The sequence below is a fragment of the Homo sapiens genome, chromosome 15 (genome assembly GCF_000001405.40).
Source record: "Homo sapiens chromosome 15, GRCh38.p14 Primary Assembly".
Classification (NCBI taxonomy): Eukaryota; Metazoa; Chordata; class Mammalia; order Primates; family Hominidae; genus Homo; species Homo sapiens.
This window is the reverse complement of record NC_000015.10, coordinates 61646226-61671938: the sequence shown is the minus strand read 5'-3', so window position 1 is coordinate 61671938 and position 25713 is coordinate 61646226. Positions and strand designations below refer to the sequence as shown.

Sequence of the window (25713 nt, the reverse complement as noted above, 5' to 3'; positions counted from 1 at the left end):
TGCTAAGAAAATGTCCCCTTCCATGTGTCCAAAGTGTTCTGCTGCTCTGGGGCCCTTATGCAACCAGATTGGAAGCCAGCCCGTTGAGAAATCATTCCTTTTCCCTTGATTGGTAATCTTGTATTTTCTTCTAGTTTCTATTTATTCTATGCTTTGGTTAAGCTGTTTATTTTTGCATCAGTACCAGAATGTTTGAATTATTGACATTTTACTCTGTGTTCTGGTTTTGGGAAGGGCTTCTTTCATCCCATTTTATGTTTTTAATATAATTACATTTTCTTAAACTTGATTATTTTTCCAAATTAAATTTACCATAATTGGATCCAGTTTAAACAAACAAACAAACAAACAAATAAAACCCCTATTGGGATATTTATTGAAATTGCTTTAAAGCATAATATGTTAATTGGAAAGAATTGGCATCCTTAAAATATTTAGGCTTTTCATAAAGAAACATGCTGAGTCTTTCCATTAGTCAAGTTTTATTTTATATCTTTCAGTAAAACACTTGAGGCTTCTATCCCCACTTCTCCCAATCTAGGTCACACATTTCCCATTAAGATTCTATCTTAGTAGTTTGTATTTTTGGTTTTATTGGGAATGGTTTTTTCATCCTCTGTGAAATGTTCTATATCTTTATGTAGCAATTTTATTGATTTTAAAAATTAACTCAAATATTTTTTTCAATGGATTGTTATAAGTAGTAGTAATTTTCCTATTTCCTTTTAAATATATATAACTTTTTTTTCCATCTCCCTCTTATTACTGGCCAGCTATCTATGAACATATTTGTTTTGTGCCTGATTTTACTAGTACTATCTCTAATGGCATCAGCTTTAAGCATGATATTGCCTGTTGGTTTAAATCAAATGTTTATATGTTGAGTGACACATGCTTCTATTTTCACTACTTGAAGATGTTTTATAAATAGTGGGTAGTGAATTTTATCTGCTATATTTCTGTCTTTTTATGATAAGATTATATGGTTTTTCTTACTTGGCATATTGCTAAAATTATTGTTATTTCTGGTACTAATCTGTCCTTGTCTCCCAGCAATAATCCCTATTTGATTATAATAGTCAGGTCTTTAAGTTAGCTTTCAAATTTCATTTACTCTTATAGTTGAGATTTTTATGTCTGTATTTGTAAATGATATTGGTTTATAAGTTTTTATCCTGCATATTGCAGGTTTTGTGTCATTTTTATACTTGCTTGGAACTGTGTAGCTTCTCATTCTATGTTCATCAAATTTTATAGACATTTGTAATGGTCTTTTTTGTTTGTTCTTAAGGTTTTAAAAATCTCACCAATAAGAGAAACTTATGCCAGAGATGTGAGAGAGGCACAGCTGTCTGTTTAAACATGTTTACCTTTGCTTATTTCATATATATATATATATATATATATATATATATATATTTTTTTTTTTTTTTTTTATTTTTATTTTTTTTTTTTTTTGGAGACGGAGTCTCACCCTGTCGCCCAGGCTGGAGTGCAGTGGGACAGTCTCAGCTCACTACAACCTCTGTCTCCTGAGTTCAAGCGATTCTCCTGCCTCAGCCTCCTGAGTAGCTGGGATTACAGGCGCCCGTCACTACACTCAGCTAATTTTTTGTATTTTTAGTAGAGACAAGGTTTCACCATGTTGGCCAGGCTGGTCTCGAACTCCTGACCTTGTGATTCACCCGCCTCGGCCTCCCAAAGTGCTAGGATTACAGGCGTCAGCCACCGCACCTGGCCTATTTATTATAATCTTTAAGTTTTATATTAAATTAATTTGGTAGTTTTTTTCAGAATATTATTAATTTCTTTAATGTTTTTGTATATAACAATATTCTCATTCTTTTAACCTATATATTGTATGTCATAGATCCTTTCATTTTAAAAAGGTTTTTGGTTTTCTCCCTGATTTCATATGCCATAGATTTTATTTGTAATTTTAAAAAATATCCAGGAACTCGTTCTATTTATTTACAAGTCCAAACACAAAAGCTGCGTGCCCACAAATGATTAGGAAATGAGCAGTAGAATTATTAAATGAAATTAGTAATCTGATGCCAGTCTTCTCTTTCCTTTGTAGATAATCATTTTTCTTCAATCTGGAAAACTAAAGATTTCCTTTTTATCCTCAAAATGTATATTTCCCCTGGTTACGCTTAGGTCAAATTCTTCAACAATAATACTCTTTCAACTCAGTTGGCTCTTTTTAAAATAGAGTCAAATCTTTCTTGGAAACATTTTCTGCTATTCTTTTAAAGTCCTGTAGCTTCTGTTTAAAATGTAGCTTTTATTTTTTTCAAAGTTTTATGTGCACATTGTTTAAAGGGTCTAATAATTCTACAAAGCTTGCTATGAAACACATCCCTCTTCCCACCAGCCAATCCCACCCCCGCATAACTTTCTGCTTCTCAGAGGCTTTCTACTTTCATAACATTTAGTTCTTTCATGTCCATATTTTTCAATAACATGCTTTTTTTTTTATTACTTCTTGAGTCTTCAGTTTTTGGCATTTTCTGTTGCTTTCTCATTATTGAAGTTGTTTTAGCACTCCTCCTCCTCATTCCTTCCATACACATGCACACGCCCTGTTCCCCATTATCCTGATTTAATATATTAATGTTTTGAGTAGATCATTTTTATTATTTATCTTATGATGACAATGGGGTATTATTCAAAACATTGAACAAAATATTTATAGGCACCAACCAGACAGGATCCCCCAAGACTCTTACTATGCCAGTTATTAATCCTCTAGTTCCTCATTTATGAGAAGGACCTAGGGTTCCTTGGGAAGAATTTAGGATGAAAGGGGGCTCCGGGCAGCAGATTTTCACCAATCAGTAGTATTTTAATATACCAGTTTGTAGGTACCGAATATAAGCCAGTTTATGATTAGAAAGCTCTTCGCAACCAACCATCTAATATGGTTACTTTTCCTTTCTTGAGCTACGTCGTTTTGTTTTCTCTAGAGCCAATGTTTATCTTATTTATTCATTAGCTTACTTTTCTGTGGATATAACTGCAAGTCAATTCCAAAGTTTACACTGGTTTTCTACAGCTCCTTTCATTTTGGTATTAATCAGTGTAGGCTAAGCTAAGCTAAGCTATAATGAACAACGCTAGAGAACCAGAGGACTCTAATAACAGAGGCTTATTTCCTTCCCGCTTTACGAGTGCGCTGCGGGTTGGCAGGGTCTCTGCTCCTTATCTCTTTACTCCAGGGCCTAGGCAGATGAGCCTCTATCTTCAGGAGCGTGAGAAGTTGCTGACGCCCGCGGAAGGGGGACGTGGTCAGGCACTAGCTCTTACAGGATTCCTCTTGCACCATTAGCCAGAGTCAGTCACATTGCCATCTCTGATTTCAAGAGACAGAGAAACGTGCACTATAACTGTGAGCCCAGAGGAAGGAGAAATGAAATATCTGATGAATGATACTATGGGCTATCGCAGCTGTGTTCAGCAAATTAACTATTCTATTTTGTCTCCTTTCCTGGAATCTTCTGATCAGTTCCAAACTGGACTGGTTGCCCAAAGGCCTGCGACAAAGCTGTTGTCTTGGAGTCGGCAGCTAAGGGGGATTCCTTAGCTCTTTGTTTGTACGGAATCCGTTTCCTCAATTCCATTTCTTCTCTTAGTTGATTTTTTCCTGTGTTTTAATCAAGCACGTATTCTAGAAACTACCTGAGAAAGAATCTGTGGAAGTAAAATGTTTGAGACCTTTGCTGTGTGAAAATGTCTTTATTGTACTTATATATTTAACTGAAAGTTTGGCTGGGCATACAGTTATACATTGGAAAGGCATTGCTTCACTGTCTTCTCACTTGTGGTATTTGTGTTTAGAATGCTATTATCATTGCAATCTCTATTGCTATGGCTTTTTATCTTTCTTTTCAATACTTTACGAAACCACTGTTACTCAAATATTAGAATACCTGAACTAGTCTTCTGATTTTCTTACATTTTCCCTTTATTTTCTATCTCTTTGTCTTCTTGTTTTACTTTTTGTGAGATTTCCTCAACTTTATATTTCATCCTTTTCTTTACTGTCATTTCAATGGGGTTCTAGTATTGCTAAATGCGTGTTCAAATTTCTTTACTTAATAAAAAAAATCTGATTATTGCTAGTTTAGGTTTTCTTTCCCTGTCAAATTCTGGTGTAAAAGAATTAGATCTACTGAATCCATTTTCTTTGCTTCTTATATGTTCTCTTGAAATTTACATTTGTGCTTTTAGCTATAAAAGAATTTCACCAGCATGCCTTTTAAATGATTTCCTCTTTGTCTTTTTTTAGTAACTTTTTTGCTACTCACTACTTTTATTCAATTCTTTTTTAAAGATAGAATGATTTAAAACATTTTCCAATAACTCTTCTGTATTATGCAATAACTTTTCTGTATTTTCCATTGCTCCACTTGCTCTTGTTTTATTGAATACGCAAATATATATATTCAAGAAGAGTGATATATAATTTCCCGAATTCAGTCTATTTCAATTGGAACTATTTGCCTCAAAATTTTCAGCTTGGTTCACCTCTTTCAAACTGTTGGTCTTTTCACTTATCCCACAATTTTTTGTTATCTTATTTTATGAGTGGAAATTTTCATAACTGAAAGTCTCATTTTTATAGATCAATCAGGACTGAAAGCTGCTACAGATTTCATCAAGAATTACAGGAATTCTTGTAATTGTAGGAGTGTTTCTTAAGCTTATTCTCTTCGTCATTCATCAAAAGACAGTTGCTATTTGGCTACTTCAATTTTATTTTGGAGCAGTCTTTTTTTTTTTTTTTTTGAGCAGTCTTTTTTGATTCAACTAGAGTCATCTCCAATGTTATCCTATTGAGAACAGGAAGCAGTTATTTCCTAACATTGGTATTGTTTTGGAGTAAATCAATTTCAAAGAAAGAATTCTATTCTGATGCTGCAAGAATTCGTTCTTACTGTCTTTCACTGGGTCCTTTTCCTTTCCCTTTCCCTTTCCTTTCCTTTCCTCAGGGTCTTACTCTGTTACCCAGGCTGGAGTGCAGTGGCAAAAGCACAGTTCCCACTGCAGCTTCAACCTCCCAGATGCAAGCGATCCTCCCACCTCAGCCTCCTAAGTAGCTGGGACTACCAGCACATGCCACCATGCCCAGCTAATTTTTAAATATTTTTGTATAGATGGGGTCTCTCTATGTTGCCCAGGCTGGTCTCAAACTTCTGGGCTCAAGTGATACTCTCGCCTTGGCTTCCTGAAGTGCTGAGATTACAGATGTGAGCCATCATACCCAGCCTGACTATTTTCATAGACTTCATTTTCTTCTTTTCCTATTGGTTCATTCTCAAGCAAGGAGAAGTGTTGGCCCCGTAGTGGCAAGGAGTCAGGAAATGAGGTTCGCCATCAGCCACTTCATGTTCTGCCCAAGCACTGTGCATTCCTTTTCTCAGGTCAAACAGAGCAATTCCTGTCTTGTAGAAAGAATTGTATGCTCAGCTCCAGGTACTTCCAAACCTCCATGTCAGCACTGTCCAAGAAAACTTACTGAAATGATACTATATCATCACAATATTATATTTGCTCTGTCCAATAGAGTAGCCACATGTGGCTATTAAGCCCTTAATATGTGGCTAGTGTGATGGAGGATCTGAATTTTAGATTTAATTTAAATTAATTTGAATTTGAATAGCCGCATGTAGCTAGTAGCTACCATATTGGAGAACAGAGCTCTAGGCAACTCACAGCATTGAGATTGAGGAGAAAGTCCCCATTGCAGGAGTAATTCTTATTTCAGTTGGAAGGGAGATGTCAGCCAGAAGCCAATGGCCTTCTAAGATCCTGGGTCCACAGAAGCAGAAGGAAGCTTCCAGTGAGACTGAGAGGTCTTTTGGTTTAAGAAAATGTAGATTCAAAGGATATTTGAACTTCCTGCATAGAAAGTACACATGCTTCGGTATAGTGACCCAAATGCTCATTGGAGTTGGAGAAAGATACATGGGACTCCAAGAAGTTAGCTTGACAGTCACTGATTTTTAATCCGTGACCCACCACTTTATAAATTCCCACCAGCATCTGCATATGGTTGTTTCTTGCTTCTCGTTGTGGCTACACAAAAGTCTTCTTTTATAAGGCTTAACAGGTACTATAAGGAATCTCTGGGAAAAAGATTTCCTTGTACTTTTACTGCTTAGCCATCTTCCCGGAATTCTTCTGACTTTATTTTTAAATTTGGAGAAACAGAAGTTATCAGCCAGGCAGATAAATTGATTAGTTTGATCATCTAGGGAGTGAGAGCTTGTAAAAGGCATTTGTTTGAGGGCTCCGGTTAATCTTGACAGCACCTTGCCATCTGACACTCAATTTAATGTGAAATTCAGAGAGAAAATAGAAAAGGAATGGTGCAGGTGTCATCTGTTAGCACTTCGAAGACAAGGTCACTTCTATCCTGCCTGCTGGGACCCTCCCCATCCCATTCAGATTCTGCAGTCTCTGGTCACTTTACCCTGAAACTCAGCAAAACATCGTCCCACCAGGCTTCACCCTAATCAGATTCTTTTTAAGTGCAAAAGATTAGTTCCATGATTACATCCTCAAAACTCCATCCACTTGGCACTGTGGCCAGGTTCCCAAACAACCTACAGACTTACTGTCAGTGAGTTCTGTGAAACGGGTGGCACACCAGGATGGACTTATTTGCTTTCTGCTTTAAGTAGAAAAATTGGATTTAGAACGCTTTTCCTAATCTGGATCTCTGCAATATATAATAAACTCCTTACATCTGTCACCATCAGCATTCTCCTTGCAGTCTTTACCTTTTATGTTTCAAAGGGGAAAGACAGGAGTGCTCTTTCTTTCTCTTCCTATTCATGCACTGTCTTGGGACAGCTAGCCTTGAGAATTCGTGACATCTTCCTGGCCGGGGTGACGGGAGACCGGAACAAATTTAGGATTGTCCTCTATATCAGCCATGTTCTATCCCTATTAACTCTAAGAAGCAACTCTTGATGTAGAAGCTTCTAACTGTTTGGAAACTTTTCAGACAGAAAAATAAAAGTCAAGCCTCATAGTCTCTGAAGACATTCTTTATTGGGAACATGGATTACATCCTAGAGGCAATGTTTTCAAAGTAGGGACTGAAGTCCACTTGCACCAGAATCATCTCTTGTGCTAGTTAAAATGGGCATTCCCAGGCCTCACTCCAGGCCCCACTGAATCAGAATCTCAGGGCTCCATCTGCATTTTAAAACCTGCCCCGGTGATTTCTATGCATTGTGAGAAATACTCTGAAAGAAGTAATGTTATTAAAGAATTCATTCAGTGGTCACTCTTAGAGGCTGGGGAATTAGACAGCAGTCTTTTCATCAGCAGAGAAGTGTTCCAGTGCAGAGTGAGGTGTGAAACGTTAAGAATGAAAGAGGCAGCAGTTTTAAGTCTTGTGCCATTATTTGCTTGCTATGGGGCCGTACAAAATCAATTTAGCCTTCCTGACTTGGTTTCCTCATTTGCAAAGAAATTAATGCTTGCTTCACGGGCTTGATGAGGTATGAATAGAAATCACCTGGTACAAAGCGAGCACTTGATGAACATTTTCTATTATGATTTCTCAACAGATGCTATGTTTAAAGAGGTTTTATGTCTGAAATAACTTGATTTTATGAAGCAATAATATGTTTATTCAACAGAGACATATACATCTGCCAATTAGAGTTCCGATGAGCTTAAGTTCTTCCACTGATGTAATTCCTATCAGTTGCGAAGGATTTTGGTGTCTCAGACTGAACATTGACATTTGAGTTTTTTGAAATTTTCAAGTAGCTCCTATATCCTCATTACTACAAATCTTTGTCAGTTCCTACTGATACCTAAGACTAGTTGGCAGCTGCAAGATTTTAGGCTCATGGGTAGCTAACAGGAGCCAAATATCTCCATGTCTTGAGAGAACAATTCAAGAGGGCTGAATTCATAAGGCCACAGTTAGGTCACCAGGATCACTCTATGTTAGGGCTGTCGATTGAACATTACTCATCTTTTTCCCTGCAGAATTTTCTGGGGACTTGGGAGCTTATTTTGCCCTTCAGAAATATCTTTATTCATGTTTTACAGGTTAGTTTTGGGAGTAAGATTCACCTGGGGGATGGGAAGTCAGGGATCTGGCTCCTCTCTAAGGAGAAGTCTGAAGTACAAAAGGGCAGGTCCAGCTGGGGGCTCTAAGTGTTCTCCAGGTTTCTCAGAGGTGCCCGAGAAGTCTTAGGGGAAGGAAGCTAAGATCTGCCTTTCACAGCCCTTTTCAAGCACAGCCACTCTGCAGGTAATCTGTTTCATGTTTTAGTATCCATGTATGAATTTGTTTGAAAAAAGAGAGTCATTGTAAAACACTGAGCAACAGTCATTGAAAATTATCGATGTGGTCCAACCCATTAAAGTTTGAACTATGACTGAACAAACCGAATTTCCATCAGGGAGCTTAAATGCCTAGAGTAAGAACTCATGGTTGGATTAAGGCAATCACTGTGCTTGGCTAGCTGCCTGTCTATCTATCCATCTATTTGTCCATCCATATCTGTGAAATGGCATCATTTCTTACATTTTAAAGATGAGGAAACCAAGATGTAGAGAGGTTGTGTCTTGCCCAAGTTCACACAATTAGTAGCTGGCAGTAGTAGAAGCTGGGATTCCAGAAGAGATAGTCTGACTCCAGGACTCACACCTTTATCCTCTAGGAAAATCTAAGAACATTTTACCAGGAAGTAGTTTCAGAACTACACCTAAAATGATAAGAATTATTTTAAATAAGAGGTGGGAGAGGATTGTGGGGAAAACATTCCAGGCAGTGCCCAGTACAGACAAAGTACTGAAAGCCTATTAACATGATAAAAACGCAGTGTGGAGCCACATTTCGTAAAGGTTTTATAATTGCTATCTCAAAGAGTGAGACTTTAATTCCTAGTGCACACAGACTAGAACTTAGCTCTTAACTATTAAGCGAAGATGCGCTGGGAGACAGCATGAGGATTGGGGTCAGTGTCTGCCACCTCCCAGTTGTGCAACACCAGGCAAGCTACTTAATCCCTCTGTGCCTCAGTTTCCTCATCTCTAAGATGGGAGCGTAATAGCCACTTCACAATGATATTATGAGGATTCAATGGCGTAGTATACATAGAGGCATTAAGGGTAATACCTATCCTATGATAAGTAATAAATGGTTGCTAATTATTTGGATTAACTCTCAATCTAATAAGACAAGCTTATTTTTTGAGCACTGATACGTGTCGGGCATGGCACCAAACACTACATAGGCATTATTACTCTTTACAACAACAGCTCTATGAAGCAGCTGCTATTATCTCCCTGATTTGCAAAGGATGAAACTGAGGAGGAATACAGTATTGATTTTAGTGTCTGATTCCAGAGCTCTTAACTATTATGTGGCCCTGTCCCCTTTACAGGACACTGCGTGGGAATTTCAGCAAGTTTTGATGTAGACAGGAGGTTCACTGGAGAGAGAGATATTTGGAACAAATGGGCTTTATAACAACCTCTTGAAATTACACCAACGAGATGATAACCCAATTATTGGGTCTTATGCCTCTTGAAGGGTCTGTAGTCTCTTGTATAAGGTCTAGGGTTTTGCTTTTTGCATACTCTTAACTCTTTTACCAGCCATTCCATGAACGTATTTTATTTTTTTACATCTTTGTAAAAGGCTATATAAGTTAGCTTTCACAGTCTACCCTGATATCCCGTGACTTAAACCCTCAACCATTTATTTAGCTCATGATTCTGTAAATTGGCAGACCAGGCTGGGCTCAGCTTTGTGATTCTTCTTTTGATCCTGGCTGGGTTATGTATAAAGTCAGCTGCCAGATCTGCTGGGGCTTGTTGGTCTGATAGGATATTCAGTGGGGATGATTCATTTGGTCTTTCATTTTTCTAGGGTGCTAATCTGGGTTTATTCTTGTGGTGGGAGAACAGTTCCAAGAACTAGAAGAGAGAGAACAAACCCCAGTGTGCAAGTACTTTTAACGTTTCCACATTTTGAAAGTCTGCTGTTGTCTCCATGGCCAAAGCAAGTCACATGACCACTCTGAGAGTCAGTGTGGGAGGAGGCTGCTGAAGGGAGTAATGCAGGCACATGAAAAACTTGGATGCAATGCAGGAATAATCTACCACCTAGGCTTTAAAAAGTTAGCCACAGTGGCTCTGCAGAGCGGCTGCATAGTCACAGGTTTGGAAGGATGCTGGAGGAAAGCATCTTTTGTTAAGTTGCACTGGGTACTCAGCTTTTACTTGGGAGCAGTTAGACACCTCTTTGGTGTGACCGTGGTATCAGATGGTACCAGAAGGTGGCATGACACATCAGGGACCATACACTCTTAAGTTGTCCCCTTCCCACCCTCCATGTCCAGCCCTTCAATCTAAAGGAGGACTCACCAGAGACAGCATTCTAGTAGCTAGTGAGGGCTGAGCTGTGGAATGACTGATTGTACTATTATCTTTACCTTATTATTATTATTTTTTGTGCACACAGGCTGGCATGGCCTGAAGAAAAAGCTGATATATCCATTAGAATTTATGCAGCACTTAAGATATCTCAATAAAGTCATCTGCAACCCTCTCCAATCACTATCATTCTAAAGGACCACCTAAGTTGATCTTGCTTACCCTTGAAATAAGATTGTGGTGGTATCACCCTACAAACTCACTTGGGTAATAAATTTCAGGCTTACATTCAATTTAGTTACCATATTAATGGTTTCTGTAGTTTATTTTTTGCTCAACCGTATGTTATGTCCCATTTTATTTCATGAAGAAAGAAAATGCTGTAGGGTTTTTGAGGACCTTAGTATCTGGTATCCAGCCACACACACATAACGATACAACCCATTACTCAATGCTGGCCATTCTGGGAAACACAATAAAGAGTCTGGTGAAAATAATTTTTCAAAAGTACTTCTTGTCCTCCTGTGATTTCAATATAAATGTCGGTATTATAATAAAATCCACCAGAACAGGAAAAATTCCTTAGCTCTTTGTAAATATCTTAAGAAATAGTATGATAATACTTTCATACCCTGAAACTTGGGGCTGAAAACAAAAATGTAATGATCGGATTCCATGGGAATGAGATGATGGCATCCATCCAGGCTCAGCAGTGTTTACTGCTGCTACTGCTGTGTGTCATCAAATTCTGGATTTTGATTGCAGTTTTGATGCCACAGACCTTGCGTGGAAAGGCCCCTTTTGCATATGCAGTTTGCTTACAGTTTCCATAGATACCTTTAAGGAGAGTTTGAGGATTTCAGGATTCAGTGCCCTAGGGACATGTTGTTGTTGTTGTTAAACCATCAGCTGAGTTCATTCCAATAAGCATTAGTATAGTTCCTTCTGGGCTAGGTTCTGTAGCTGGTTCTGAGCCAGGCATATACACAGCCCTGACCTGTGGAAGCTTCAAATCTGGTAGAATTCAGTGACAGAGGCAGGCCTGTGGGATGAAATAACAACTTTGATAAAGATACCAAGAAGTACCCAGAAGAGAGGAATACATTGTAGAGTGGGGAGGCAGGAGAACAGAGAGGAGATGTTTAAGGGGTATTTTGAAAGATAAACATTAAAGGACATTCTGTTTGACTTGGTGAAAACTGAAGATTAGAAAGCTTGAGCGGACTACTAGGTCTGGAGAGACAGTGAACTAGTTTTTTAACTACCTAAATATGCTTGACAAAACAGCTAGACTATCTAAATATACTTAACAAAATGTTGATATATGATAATTTTAAAATAAAAGTTAAGCATACCAGAAAGCAAGAGAAACTCCCCATGGTTGAGAATGTAAGGGGAGTAGGAGTCCGGAGAGGTAAGTGATGGTCAAAGTTGCTGAGTACCAATAAATTCCAGGTTAATCAAGAGCTCTGGCTTCAGTAGCTGTGCCTATGTGTAAGGGAGGCAGATAAAAAGACCTCACTCGGGAGAGAAGCCAGTGGTGTAATCCTGTGGTAAAGCTGGGACCGATGAAGGACAACATTCTCAGGGAAAGAGTGAACTGGAAAAAAATGTATATGCCAAAGAGTCAGATGGCAAAGAACCTTGACTGATTTAAACTGGCTATTGAAGGGTGGAGAATGTGGCAATATACCAGCTTTAACATAGGTTCAAGGCCTGAATTCACAGTGTTTGCATGGTCTAAATAACCACAAGCGAAGAATTCAAATTTAAAGCAGACTCAGCAGGAGTGAACACAAATTTCTAAAGGAACTCAGATTCGATTCATTCATAAAGAATTTTCATAGGCTGAGTTCCAGTGAGCATGAGCTCAGAAATGGCAAAACATACAAGAAAATAAAGCATCATGAGTGAGAGTCAACAGAGACAGCCAGTAACAGCAAATAATTACCTTGAGTGTTTAACATGTTTAATACATTTAAAGAAATAAAATAGGAAAGCAAAAATATGAATAAGGAGTGAAAGGCTATCAAAAATGACCTGTCATACCTGAAGAAGTACTAAATAGAATGTCTAGAAATAAAAAAGTAATTGAAATAAAAAATTCAGTGAAATAATAGCCCTAAACTAAAAAAAAGCAAAAATTCATCAATAGCAGAAGGAGTAAATTGTGATATATTCATATAATGGAACGTTACAACACAATGAAAAGAGAAAAATATTGCTAATGCAACACCATGGATAAACATCATAGTCAAAATATGAAGCCAAACAAGCCAGATACAGAGCATATGTACTATATGAGTCCATGTATAGAAAGTTCAAAAACAAGCAAAGCTAATCTAGGTTGATTGTGGTCAGAATAGAGGTGACCTCATGTGGTAGGGTGCTGTTTGAGAAGTGGCTAGAGGGAGGGCCTCTGGGGTGCTGGAGATGTTCTACATCTTGATACAGATGGTGGCTACATGAGTGTGTACACCTGTAGTGTCATCAGGCTGTCCCTTTAAAGATTTGTACTTGTACATTATGTGAGTTGTATCTCAATACAAAAGCATAAAAACTTAAATGGCCCTATCTTCCAGTTCCTTTGACCCCCAAGACCAGAATAGACACAGCCAAAGAGAAAATTAGTGAACTGAAACTGAGAGAAATACACAAAATTCAGCACAGAATGGAAAAGACATGAAAATGACAGAGACGTTAAAAGACAAATGAGGCAAGGGTGAGGTCTAAGCAGAACTCTAAAAGATATAGAGAATAAACAACTTCTAAGAAAGACTCAGATCCTTTGATTCAGGATATCTAATAAACTCCATGCAGGATAAATAAAAGAAATCTACACCAAAATGCATCACAGCAAAACTACAGGCCAAGGAACCTAGAAACTGCCCAGGTGAAAATAGAGATTGCCTACATAGGATGGTCAGACCAAGGAAGTCTTCTCAACAGTAATGTTGCAAGCTGGTAGAGTATGATGATATCACCAATGCCTTTGAAAGAAAGTAACTCTCAACCTAAAATGATTAACTGAGTGAATGAGGGCAAAATAATAATAATTTAAACATTAGGCAAACAAAGCAAAACTAAAAAATACAGATTTTTACTACCAACAGACCGTCATTCAAGGAATTGCTAAAAATGTACTCTTAAAAGAAAAAAATGATTACAGGACTGAGGTACAAGAAGGAATGAACAGCAAAGGAATATTAAATAGCAAGGTGTATATACAACATGGGAAGTATTTGGTTCTCTCTCTCTCCACACACAACACCACACACACACACACACACACACACACACACACATAAAATAAAGAACTAGAGTGTTGTGCAGGCAGGCAGGAGGCTTATGCTAAAGCAGGGCATACTGACTACAGTTAGTTGAATTGAAATGGACTCCCCCTCCGTATAAGTCTATTTTATATCATGAGTTGGGAGTTTTGTTACATTCCATGGAATTTCTAGAATTGCCACTGGACATTGACCTTGTTAGATGAATTAGTTCTGCCATATCTAACAATTTTCAATGTTCCCTTCTTGGTAGTTGTTGAAAATAGCAAGCCCATAATAAGATAAAGACAGATTTTATTCTTATAATGCAAGTAAAGCCTAGAGATTAATTAAACAGATTTTATTCATTTACATAATTAGAAAATTGTTTGCAACATCAGTCCTAATAAACTTGGATTTGTTTCACAAATGGGATGATTGGTTCTGGGATAAATATATGTCCTTTGCAAATACTTTTGATATTGATGGAGGGCATGGCCTCTTAAGGAGCAAATGATACAAATGCCTGCCCTTTGAAGGGTGCTCGGTGCTGTATAAACATTCAGTATTACTCTCAGTCACGGCGAGGTGAGTACAGCACCCTGCAGCGGGTGGAAAGGGTGGCTGCTGGCTGCCTCAGCTGATAATTCAAGAAACCATTTTCTTGGCATTCAGCTATCATTGTTGTAATGACAGACTGGTGGTTTTAAACCTTGACCTCAATTTTCTAGTTCTTCCATGACCCCACAGCTCCCTTCCATCTTAAACATTCCTTCAGTGGCCTTTAATTCCTTAGTGAATATTTTAACCTAAATAAAATTTTCATCTTTTCCACCTTCAAGAGACAGCTCAGAGCTCACCTTCTCTGTAAATTCTGCCCTGAATTCCCTGGCAGGATTAACCATACTCTCCTGCCTGCTCCCCTGCCACTCATAGCTCTCTATGGCAATTATTTGTAAGTAGACAGAGAACACAGGAAAGGCAGAGACTTCGCGAATTTCTCATGTCTCCATCCCCAGTGATCAGTCCAATAAATGTGTGCTATACTGAAATGGAATTATTTCCATTTGAACAGAAACATGATTAATATGACATTGCATCCATAGGCTTATAGTGAAGATGCTTTGGCGAAGCATTGTTTCTAACGGCTTATGAATGTCTTCAAGCGCAGTTCCAATGATATTGTCTTGTGACATCTGCCCTCGTTAAGTAGTTGGAGCAAATATTCATACCTTCATCTGATAGATAAGAAGCCCAGGAAGAGAAAGCTTAAGTGGCTCACACAAGGCTCAGCAGTTTATGCAGGGTGTAAGTCAATGGATAGGGTGGTAGATGGGAAATAATAAGAAGTAAGGTTTGTACTCCTCAGAGAAACGACTTCATTAATTTTCTCTCCATTTACATCCAACTCCATCTTCTCCAGTTCTTTTCTTCATGGGATCAGAGGAGCAGCCTTTTGATAGAAGGAAGACATACCACTGAGACGCTGAATATGAACTGACCCTCACGTGGGAACCATTTTCCTGTAGAAGCAGCAACAATCATAATGCTCGCTTGAACTTGGCGCTTTTCTTCTCTTGAGCATAAAGTCTGAAGTTACCCGCTGATGCCTTCGGCACGGCAGTGGGCGGATGAACAGAGGAGAGGCTGGGGACTGCGAAGTGTGTTATTGTGGAGAAATTCTTGGGGCTGTCAGGGCCATGAATGGATCTGGTGAATAAGCCAACCGGGGCAGTTCAATAGGCAGGGTGATAAGGAGGAAGCTGTGACATTGTTTCTACAGAAGGAATTGCTGGAGATCTCTCAGGGGCTGTGTTGTGCTCAAGCCACTTGGCAGAAAGGCTCATGGGAGGACTACGCCAAACGCTTAGACGTAAACCAAAAACCTACTTCTTAGGGACCCCAGGAATGTCAAGAAATCTAACTTCAAAGAGGATTGGAAGCATTGATAAAAATCAATAGCTCTTTGACTTCGGGGTGTTGGTTTTCTTAGGTCTGTAATGCAACCCAGGTCTGTGGCAATCTCTATCGTGGCATAATGCAGTGTTTTGTGCAATAAAATAGCACTCATGAAAATTTAGGAGCCTTGAAGTGAGAGCTCTTCTTCCATGTATTTCTTTTGGCAGCTTAGAGGATAGATTTCCAGAACACAGACGTCATTGGCCTCACCCTTGTGCCATTTTCAACTTGCAGGGGGAGGGTGGGAAGAAAGACAAGAAGAAAACAGTGTGGCATGCTTGGAAAACTGTAGTTGTTCTGTGTTTCTGGGGTATGGAGGATGTGGGGAGCAGTAAGCAATGAAGCAGGAGAGATGATCATGGACCAGGTTGTGGGGACCTGATGGACCAGGCCAGGAAGTATGGACCAAAGCCAGGGGGACCGCCCCAGATGTAGGCTGGCTTTGAGGGGGTGCTGGAGTTCAAATCATGGTGTCCAAAGGTACATGGCATACTTGGGCTTGATTCAGACTGCACAGGTATCAGAGGGTCTGATCTGAGGGCAGTGTATGCCCATAGGAATTTCCTGGTGGTAGTGACATTTGATGCCATGTGCTGGGTGGCCTTTTCTGGGTGATCAGGACCCTACGCTGTTGCTACAGAAACAGGACTCGGGGTTTAGTCCTCTGCAGGAGAGGGCTGCCCAAGACAAGGCCTAATGCCAGGGTCCTAGGGAAATGGGCTAGGGCTCATGGAAGGAACAGCTCAGCTGCTGTGTACACTGGGCCAATCCAGAGTAGGGGAAGTTGACATAAGAAAACGGAGTCCAGACAGCAGAATAATTCCAGATCCCACCAGCCAGTGGAGGGGAGTCATCTAAAATACTCTCTGGCCTGCTCGGGCTAACACACACATTTAGTGGAACAGAAGTACATCCGGAGAGGCAGGGACTAGAGAAAGTAGAGACTGAAGTGAAGATTTCAAAGCAAGAGTAGCTCAAGTTCGAGTGAAGGAGGCCTCGCACGCTCCTTGGACACGCCACACTGTTGTCTTTGTGACCTTCACAGGTGTCCTCAGCCTGGAGCACTCGCTCTGCTCTGACTTCAGCCATGAGCTGTCGGCAGGCCAGTCCACAGGCTGAGAACCCAGTGTGAACGTGGGAAGAAGCCTGCCGTCCAGGCCGACCCGAGCCTGGAGCTTTCTCTCCAGAGGTCTGCTTGATCTGAGTGAAAGCTGGGACAGGCCGTCCTCTCAGAAGTATTTCCTCACTGCCTCGAAAATAACCCTCTGGATAGGACAGGCCTGATTGTGAAAGGAAATTCCAGCTCTACAGGGGACCAGTCCAGACCCCTGTCCTATTACCTAAATAATCACTTTGTGAGGCTTCCAAGAGCAGTATTTTCAGAATAGTTTATGAGAAATTTTCTGATAATCTGCTCAGTTTGCAGAAAGATTGTTTTGTTTTCATCTACCAAACACACATCACACACACACACACACACACACACACACACACACACACACACACACATTGTGGGACATTTACTGCTAATTTCAAAGAGCAGCTAATGGGTTTTTTCTTCTCCTAGTCATCTGGGATGCTGAACGATTTTAAATTGAATTGTTCCTGCAGTACTGTGAAGAAATGATTTAAATAAAACTCTCCTGCCCACTGAGGCTGTGCTTTGGGCCCTCAGCCACAGTCTGGGGTCCTGTCACAAATCCAGGGCCACCATGTTGTCACCTCCCTGACCCTGAAGTGCTTGACCTGATGGGTAGCACACGTTGAGGAGTCCCCAGGACACAAGTGACATCTGCATGTTGATTTCCCTCTGCTCTAACACCAGCCAGTGTGGGATGGTGCTGCAGAGGCTGGGTTGTGGGCTAAAGACAGCCACCGAGATCCCTAGAGAAGGTAGGTCCCTGCTGGCAGACAGGGCCCAGGTCTTTTTCTCTTGGTAACTCCAGGACTAGCAAGTGCCATGCCTGTAGTTGCTTTGAAAAGTGAGTTGCATCAATCTGCAGAATGAGGCGTAGCACCGTCTTGTCTTGGGAGTCAGGTGGGGGTCAAAGTTCAGGAACTCAGCTGAAATGAGGCTGCTGCGGGGTGGGGCACATGGAAGAACAGGAACCAAAGAAATGTCAGAGACCTGGTGTTGGATTAAGTGAACCCAGCCTCAGGATTAGGTGAACTTGTTGGAAGCGCTGGCTGCTTTTCCATCTCCGTCCCCGGGAGCTTTTCCATCTCCTTAAACTCTAGTAGAAGCTGCAGCTGTGAGAACTGCCAGTGGGCCTCAGGGGAACACAAGGCCTCTGGAGGGGCTTCACACCAGCTTCCCTCACCCCTCTTTCCTGCTGAGATCCCCATCTTCTCAACCATCCCCCATACAGTTTTCTAAGAAAGCCAGAGGAGGAAATTATCATGAAAAAGAGAATTGTAAGTATTCTTCTGGGTTCTGTATGATCCATAAAAAACTCTCAAAAGAATTGATTTTCTTATTTTCAGATAGGTAAACCAAAGCTTAGAGATAAGTCACCCAACTTGGGACACTTTGAACAGTAAAAAGGAGTGCTAAAAATACTTATACAGTATTTATCATCTGAAAAAAATTGGTTTTATTATATTTTTGAATGTACAAAATAATTATACTCAAAAACTCTTAAGAATAAAATTCTTTCTCAAAAAATCAACAGACATAAACCAGGTCTGGCAAGTGGCAGTTCTGCAGTTGCCCTGATGTAAGTGACTTTTCCAGGATCACACAGCTAGTAAGTGACAAAGCCAGGCTTCAAAGCCAACCTCATTTCATGATTTCATGCTGCTTCGTTTTGTAAGCGAAAGATTGTTGGAAGTCTCCTAAGTGTTCCAGAAGTTTCCTTCCAGCCTCAAGCATACCCCTCTTTCCACGCAGGAGGTGGACTTGTCTGCCGGGCCATTTCCTTCCCACCTAAGCTCCTGCCAGATGGCTCCCAGTTGCTGTGTTTGAGCCCAGGCTGACCACTTCCTAGGCAGTGGCGTTGGAGATGGGTGTGGCCTTGCCTCCAGGATCTCCTCACAGCTTGTGCTTCCTGACAGCTGTGGACACTTGGGCTGACTGCAGACCTCCCGCTACCCTGATTTCCAGCAAGTAGGTGTTACTGGGCCTGGATGTCTCCGTCTCGGGTCCTCTGTGTTTCTTGATCCTTCCCTGCTCCCTCGGGTTCTGGCTGCTGCTTCTGCCTTGACTACCCACCCTCAAGCATGACCCTGGGTCCCTGAGTATGGCTCCCTCCCTGCACAGCTTTGCTCACCCCTCCCTGACTCAGTCCAGAAATTCCTCTCTGTGGTCCCTCCACCCCGCCTCCACGCCCCTATTCACAATTTGACAGTCTTTGAGATTTAATCAACTAGTTCATTGAGCAATCCAGGTGTATACCCACCTGATTTGAAGTGATTTAGTTTAATGAAGATAATCATGTGGCCCAGGTTTTCTGGGGCAGCCCTAATTTCAACTATTCTCTCTCTTTGTCCTCACAAAAACTATCAGAGTGGTAAAAATCCTAGTATTTTGGCACAGAAACATCACGCTCATGGCACCCAGAAAACAAAAAAGAAGCATAAATCCCTAGTCAGGCAATATGTCCCACTTTTGGCTCAGGACATACAGGTCTCTGTTAAACCATTATTTTTTTTGCAACCTGGGTGAGCCTAAGAGAGAACAGCTTTTTTGTTTATTTTCTTGAATCATAATATTTCTCTAGTCCCTGTGTTTACTAAAGACACATCATGGTGGGACACATTTATTTACAAAATAAGTTTTAGTCTTATTATGCTGGCCTGGTTATTTGTATAACATGCAGCAACAATAATTATTTGCCACCTAGGCCCCTTTTAACAGGCGAACATAGCAGGGACAGACATTCTAAAAAACTGCAAGTATTGTCAGAGACTCTGACTCTCAACTGTTGTTAGATTCTAGGCTGTTGTTTCTGAGTTTTTATTATTTTCTGCAATTTGGACTAAATCCTGAATTCTTTCTGGGATACAAATTCCTAAACTAACACTTTCAAAATTTTCTTCTATTTTTCTGATTTGGACTCAATGAAATTAATACTACATTATTCCTTGTAATACAGGCAGGAAAAACATATCTGACTGTCACTGCCTTTCTCTTCTGTAGCTAAAAATGCTTTGAGTCTAACATCTGGATAAATTCTGTCCAATGTTAAAAGAAAAAAAAAGAGGCCGGGTGTGGTGGCTCACGCCTATAAGCCCAGCACTTTGGGAGGCCGAGGTGGGTGGATCACCTGAGGTCTGAAGTTCAAGACCAGCTGACCAACATGGTGAAACCCCATCTCTACTAAAAATACAAAAAAATTAGCCGGGCATGGTGGCACATGCTTGTAATCCCAGCTACTTGGGAGGCTGAAGTAGGAGAATCACTTGAACCCGGGAGGCAGAAGTGGTAGTGAGCTGAGATCGCACCGTTGCCCTCTGGCCTGGGCAAAAAGAGCAAAATTCCATCTCAAAAAAAGAAAAAAAGAAAAGAAAAAGAAAAAAAAAGAATTAGCCCTGCAAAGTCTAAATATCTTTTAATATATTCAGGGGTTTTTTTTTTCTTTATACATTAAATTGGGCATTCTTAACCTGGACTGCATAACTCACTAAGGTGGGGCTATGGGGCCAATGCATATGCCTTACATGTCCAGAAATTGCCTGAAATTAAAAGCATATTTTTTTTGTGCGTATGCATAGGTGCATTTTTTGAAGGAGGGGAAGGTTGCTCTAAGCCACAAAGTAGGTTTTGGTCTCTGTGAACTGCATGAATCACATCCAGAAAAAAACTCCCTGGCCAGCAGAATTCACTCTACAACTGCTCATTGAATGGGGGCTCTGGCACTCCCTTGGACCCCCTGGGGTTCTGCAGCCTGTCTGAGGCACCGTGGCTATGCTGCTTCATCAGCAAGACTTTGATTTTGCTTGGTCCTCTTGCTCTTGGGAGCTGCAGCTTCTCTGTGATGCCTCGTTCCCTCTGTGGCCTGCAAAGTCCTTGAAACCCACTGTGGCTGCTGCTGTAAATCCTGCTTTATCTATGGATGGCTGACATGACTTTCACAGTTACACAAATGGAGCAAGCAATGTGCATGCCAGGCAACCCAGGCTACTTGCATTTCAGCAGTCAGTTGACACCTGTTGGTGCCAGGCACTGTGCTAGGACCTAGGTGTAGGGAGGTGATAGAAGATAAAAAATGATGACAAGTCTGGTCCCGGTGGCTCATGCCTGTAATCCCAGCACTTTGGGAGGCTTAGGTGGGTGGATCACGAGGTCAAGAGACTGAGACCATCCTGACCAACACGGTAAAACCCCGTCTGTACTAAAAATACAAAAATTAGCTGGGCGTGGTGGCACGTGCCTGTAGTTCCAGCTACTTGGGAGGCTGAGGCAGGAGAATCGCTTGAACCCGGGAGTCGGAGGTTGCAGTCAGCCGAGATTGTGCCACTGCACTCCAGCCTGGTGACAGAGCGAGACTCCATCTCAAAAAAAAAAAAAAAAAAAAAAAGAAGGAAAAAAAAATGATGATAAGCAGCTCTTGCCTTTCAGAGGACTCAGACAAATGAGCAACTCATTATAAGTAGTAAAAGGGCAATGATATGGAATTGTGGTCCCTATCTTGTCAGAGCTGTCTAGTGACACTAACACTGTAGAAGGGTGAGCCTGCCCTGTGTTCTCGGTGTCATCATTTACTCATCTAACAAATATTGATGGCGTGCCCATCCCACGTCAGGCACTGCACTAGGTCCCAGGATCCATGGCTGAGCAAACACACAGAGTTCCTTCCTAGGGTGGAGAAAGACACAAATTAAGTCAAACCATATAAAATTATGACCGAGATGTGGGCCATAAGGTGGGGAGACATGGCGCTATAGCAAATATAGAGACTATGACAAGGGACGTTGGGTCTTGTCACAGAGATCTTGGAAGCTTCCCTGAGGAAATGATGCCTGAACTGAGATCTTAAGGAAGGAAAAATGTGAATTAATAGGATGAAGAGGGCAAGGACAATAAGGGAACTCCAGGCAGAAGGCACAGCGCGTAGGGAGGCCCAGTGTTAAGGGGTAACCTCGTTCCTGTTAGAAAATGAAAGAAAAGCCATGGAGGCCGGAATCCAGAGAGTGAGGAGCACTGCCTAGAACAAGGCTGCAGCCAGACTGTCAAGGGGTCAGTTTGGGTTTTGGTCTATATGTTGCTATTCAATGGCAAGCCCTCAGGATTTCTTTTAAGGTGGAGTCTTACTCTATCACCCAGTATGGAGTGCTGTGGCAAGATCATAGCTCACTGTAACCTTGAACTCCTGGGCCCACGCAATTCCCCCCAGCCTCAAGCTTCCAAGTAGCTGGGACTAGAAGTGTGTACCATCATGCTCTGCTAATTTTTATATTTTTTTTTATAGAGACAGGGTCTTGCTATGTTGCCCAGGCTGGTCTTGGACTCCTGGGCTCAAGCAGCCCTCCAACCTCAGCATCCTACAGTGCTGGGATTACAGGTGTGAGCCATTATGCACAGCCCCTTTGGGATGTTTTAAGCGGGAACATGATATGATATATGAGCAAACCATTTCAACTGGGGAGATCAAGGAAGTTTTCATGTGGTAGATGCTTTGGAGCTGACTTTTGCAAGATATGTAGGAGCTCAATTGTTAAAGAATAAGAAGGACCTTCATGGGAACCGCCGAAGATGGAAAACACAGAAGAACGAAGGCATGCACGGTGCCTGGGGAGTGGTAAGCTGCGGGTATGACAGAAGCTTCATGTCTTTGAAGGAATGACTGGAAAAGCTAAGGGAAGCCAAACCATGAAGAGCTGAACCACCACACTGGAGGGTCTAGGTTTTATCAAGTGGAAAGTCAGAGTTTTGGGGAAAGGGTATAGCATGATCTTATCTGCAACTTGAGTCCTGAGATTTCCACCAGAAGTGGCCCAGCCATTTCTAGCTTCTGGCATCCATATCCAGTTGTACAGCCGGGGATTTTAAACAAGGATTGCTGCATAACTTGTATTACTGAGAAAGAAACTATTGCTTGGTTCCCCTTTTGGCGTGGGAGTGTCTTTGGTCATCATTGTACGTTGGGGTTGGTTGCGTTGATTCCTATGAAACAGAAGAATTGCAACATCTTAATCCCACAAAGCAGTGGGATCTAGACGTTCTCCTCCTGCTCTGCCATTGATCATGGATGAGGCTGCACTACTGGGGGAGTCTCCCAAGCAAGCAAATGAAAGCTAAATTTATTATGCATTTGGAAAAGTGATAGCTGCATTGAATTCTCAAGTTTGAGATTTCTTGGTCTCTAAAACCCAGTAGGTAACTGAAACAATTCTAAATTTTCAAGTTCCCACTTCATGGAAAAATCTTAAACATCTTCCTAGGATAGCATTTTTATGGCATGGAGAATGTGCTTGAATGGTACCAAATGGTTGAACCTCTGCAGAAGAAAGTAGCCATTCTGCAAAGGGAACGGGAGGACCAGTTTGTTAAATATACATTGTAGCTTGGAACACTTAAGCCATGGAAATAAAGCAAAAATACATGCTGAGTGTTTCTTCCTAGGACACGCTCTGAAGGTGAAGATGTAAGAGGAAATCAGTATTGTTTTGAGATTCTTGAGATATTCTCTGTATATGTGACAGTAATTTTTTAAAAAATGTGTATGGTTTGAGAATTGAGGAAGATGTTCTCTCCTTGAAGTGCCTGAAGGAAGGGAAAACGTGAAAATGGGAAGTAGATTTTATTAAGTATCTGATTTGTACAGGGCATCCCACATACGGCATTTTACTCACTCCTATGACAGTCCTGCAAAGCAAGCTTTACTGAACCCATTTTATGGCTGAGGTGGAGGCAGGCAATTCATAAATGGCAGGTCTGAAATTTGGATTTAGGGTTGACTGTCTCCACATCCATGTTGTTGCATTATTCCACTTTTACAGATGAAGAACCAGAAACAGAGAATTTCATTGCTTAAATGATGGTGCCAGCTCTCAGGTCCAGGTTGTCTGACCTACTCACCGTATTGCCTCTGGGGAATAACGGAGTGAAACCCAAATAATCATAATAATACTAACTAATGTTTATTGAGCATGGTGCTAAACTCTGCACAGATTTTTATCTCATTTAACTGTCATAACCACCCTCTAAGGTAGGTGCTTGAATAATTCCCACTGTCTAGAAGAGGAAACTGAGGCTGGGAGCTGAAATAATTTAGCCATGCTCACATAGCCAGCACATGCTAAATCTGTGATTCAAACTTGGGCATTCTGTCTCTAAAACCTGTGAGCAAAGCTCCATTGCCACACAGCCTGGCTCTCAACAACCCACCCAGAGAAGCTCTTTGAAAGAGCTCTCCCTGCTCCCACTGAGATGATGCTTCTGTTTCTCACTAACACAGCTCCTGGGTCTAGTGTTTCCTTTTAGATCCGTTTTGTCCTGCATATAAAGATACTGTTTACGTATGTCGTCTCAGGCTGTGGGAAATGCCATCCCTGTGTTCCCCTTGACCAACTCCTAATTCAGAAGGTTTTGTTCTAAGCATCCTGTAAGAGTTCGAGTAAGCTTAATTTACATGGCCATAAGCCATAAAACACAGTTTCTTTTTGGATAGGTTTCATTTACTGACTTGCAGGATAGATGACTCATAAATAAATTGCTCCTTTTCCTTGTCGATTTCTGTCCCTATCTTTGGGAATGCATGGTTGCTTTAAATATCTGCAAAGAAAAGAAATTGGATTCTGTGTTAGTGGCACTGCTGGTTCTCTTTCTTTCTCTCTCTCTCTCTGGCACATTCTGAATATTTTACCCTTTTTCCCAGCATGGAAATCTTTATAGTCCTAATAGAATTATTTCTTGTATGGTTCTTTATGCAAAATGACATTATTAATATTAAAATGATAAATATTGTGACTCCTGAACTGATGTGTTTTGATCACACTTTAACTGTGGCAAAACACTTTTTTAAGATCCTTTCAAATGTTGTTATAACCTTATACTCACATGCCTACACAGATATGGGTCATATGTGCTGACATTTAAAAAGATGAAACCCAGCTAATTCTCCCACAATAGTCTTTGATATAAATTACAAGGGAACAACAAATTGTTTTGCCTCTGATGAATGTAGGGTAGGTATTTTTCAAAAGAAATGTTAATCTTTCCTTTTCAAGAGGAAAGTCTTAAAATGGATTTTTGGACCTTGGCTCACAAAGCTGAATTTTTATATTAACCTGGCCTTAACCATGCCAGACAGAGTCTGTCTCGGTCCTCAGGAGACAGAGCCATGCACAGTACTTGCTGCACCGTCGCAGTCTGATGAAATAAAATGAGCATAGGGCCAGGGATCAGGAGGCACAATTGCTGACACCAGCTTAGTTACTAAGAGATGCGCTGAATGACTGGGGCAAGTTCCTTCCCCCAGCGCCTCCGTTTCCCCCATCTGCACAATGAAGGACTGGAATTAGGTGGTTATTAAAGACTCTCTGGCACTAACATTTCATGATTCTATGGCTCTTGATAATGGCCATGTGTGAAGTCCACAGAGGCCTCCTTCTTAAATGCTTAATGTAGAATTAATACTTTATCACTTTTTCAATTACCAGCCTCTCTAGCTTTTCTTTGGAAGGAGCAAGAAAAAAATGAAGTACAAGAAACGGTAGGTCTTGTTATACCTGAAAATATTAATAATATAAAAATATCCCTTATACTGCATGTTGGTGAAAAACATAGGTATCTCTACAGAGCGAGGTCCTTTGCTATTTCTAACCTTTAACTCACAAGCGAAGTATTAATTGTCCCATTTTACAATGAAGAAACTGAATTTCAGAGATGTAAACTCACTTCCCCAAACTTGTGATGCCACTAGAGAGAAAAACCCTGGTGTACAGAGCTCTATACTTGAGCTTGGCTGCTGTCTCCACAGCCAGCCTGCCCTAATATCTGTGGGGATTAGGGCAAGAGAGTAAATGGACACCATTTATCTAAATATTTCTAAGTCAACCTTCATGTTTTCCCCATAGGAGCCTTCTTTACAAGGTGCACATATGTGCCATTGTCATACTCTACTCC

The 25713-nt window shown here is 40.8% G+C and overlaps 1 long non-coding RNA gene across 3 annotated transcripts in view; it reads left to right on the top strand.

The window, feature by feature from the left end:
* LOC107984782 (uncharacterized) overlaps positions 1-25713 on the top strand; it is a 208325-nt gene that overhangs the window by 43248 nt on the left and 139364 nt on the right. For 2 of the 3 annotated variants that reach the window (XR_001751570.2, XR_007064667.1), the window contains exon 1: positions 18694-18750. The exons of the other annotated variant lie outside the window; for it this stretch is intronic. This is a non-coding gene — a long non-coding RNA (uncharacterized LOC107984782). Of the gene's footprint in view, positions 1-18693; positions 18751-25713 lie in introns of those variants that run through there. 3 annotated transcript variants of the gene reach the window in all.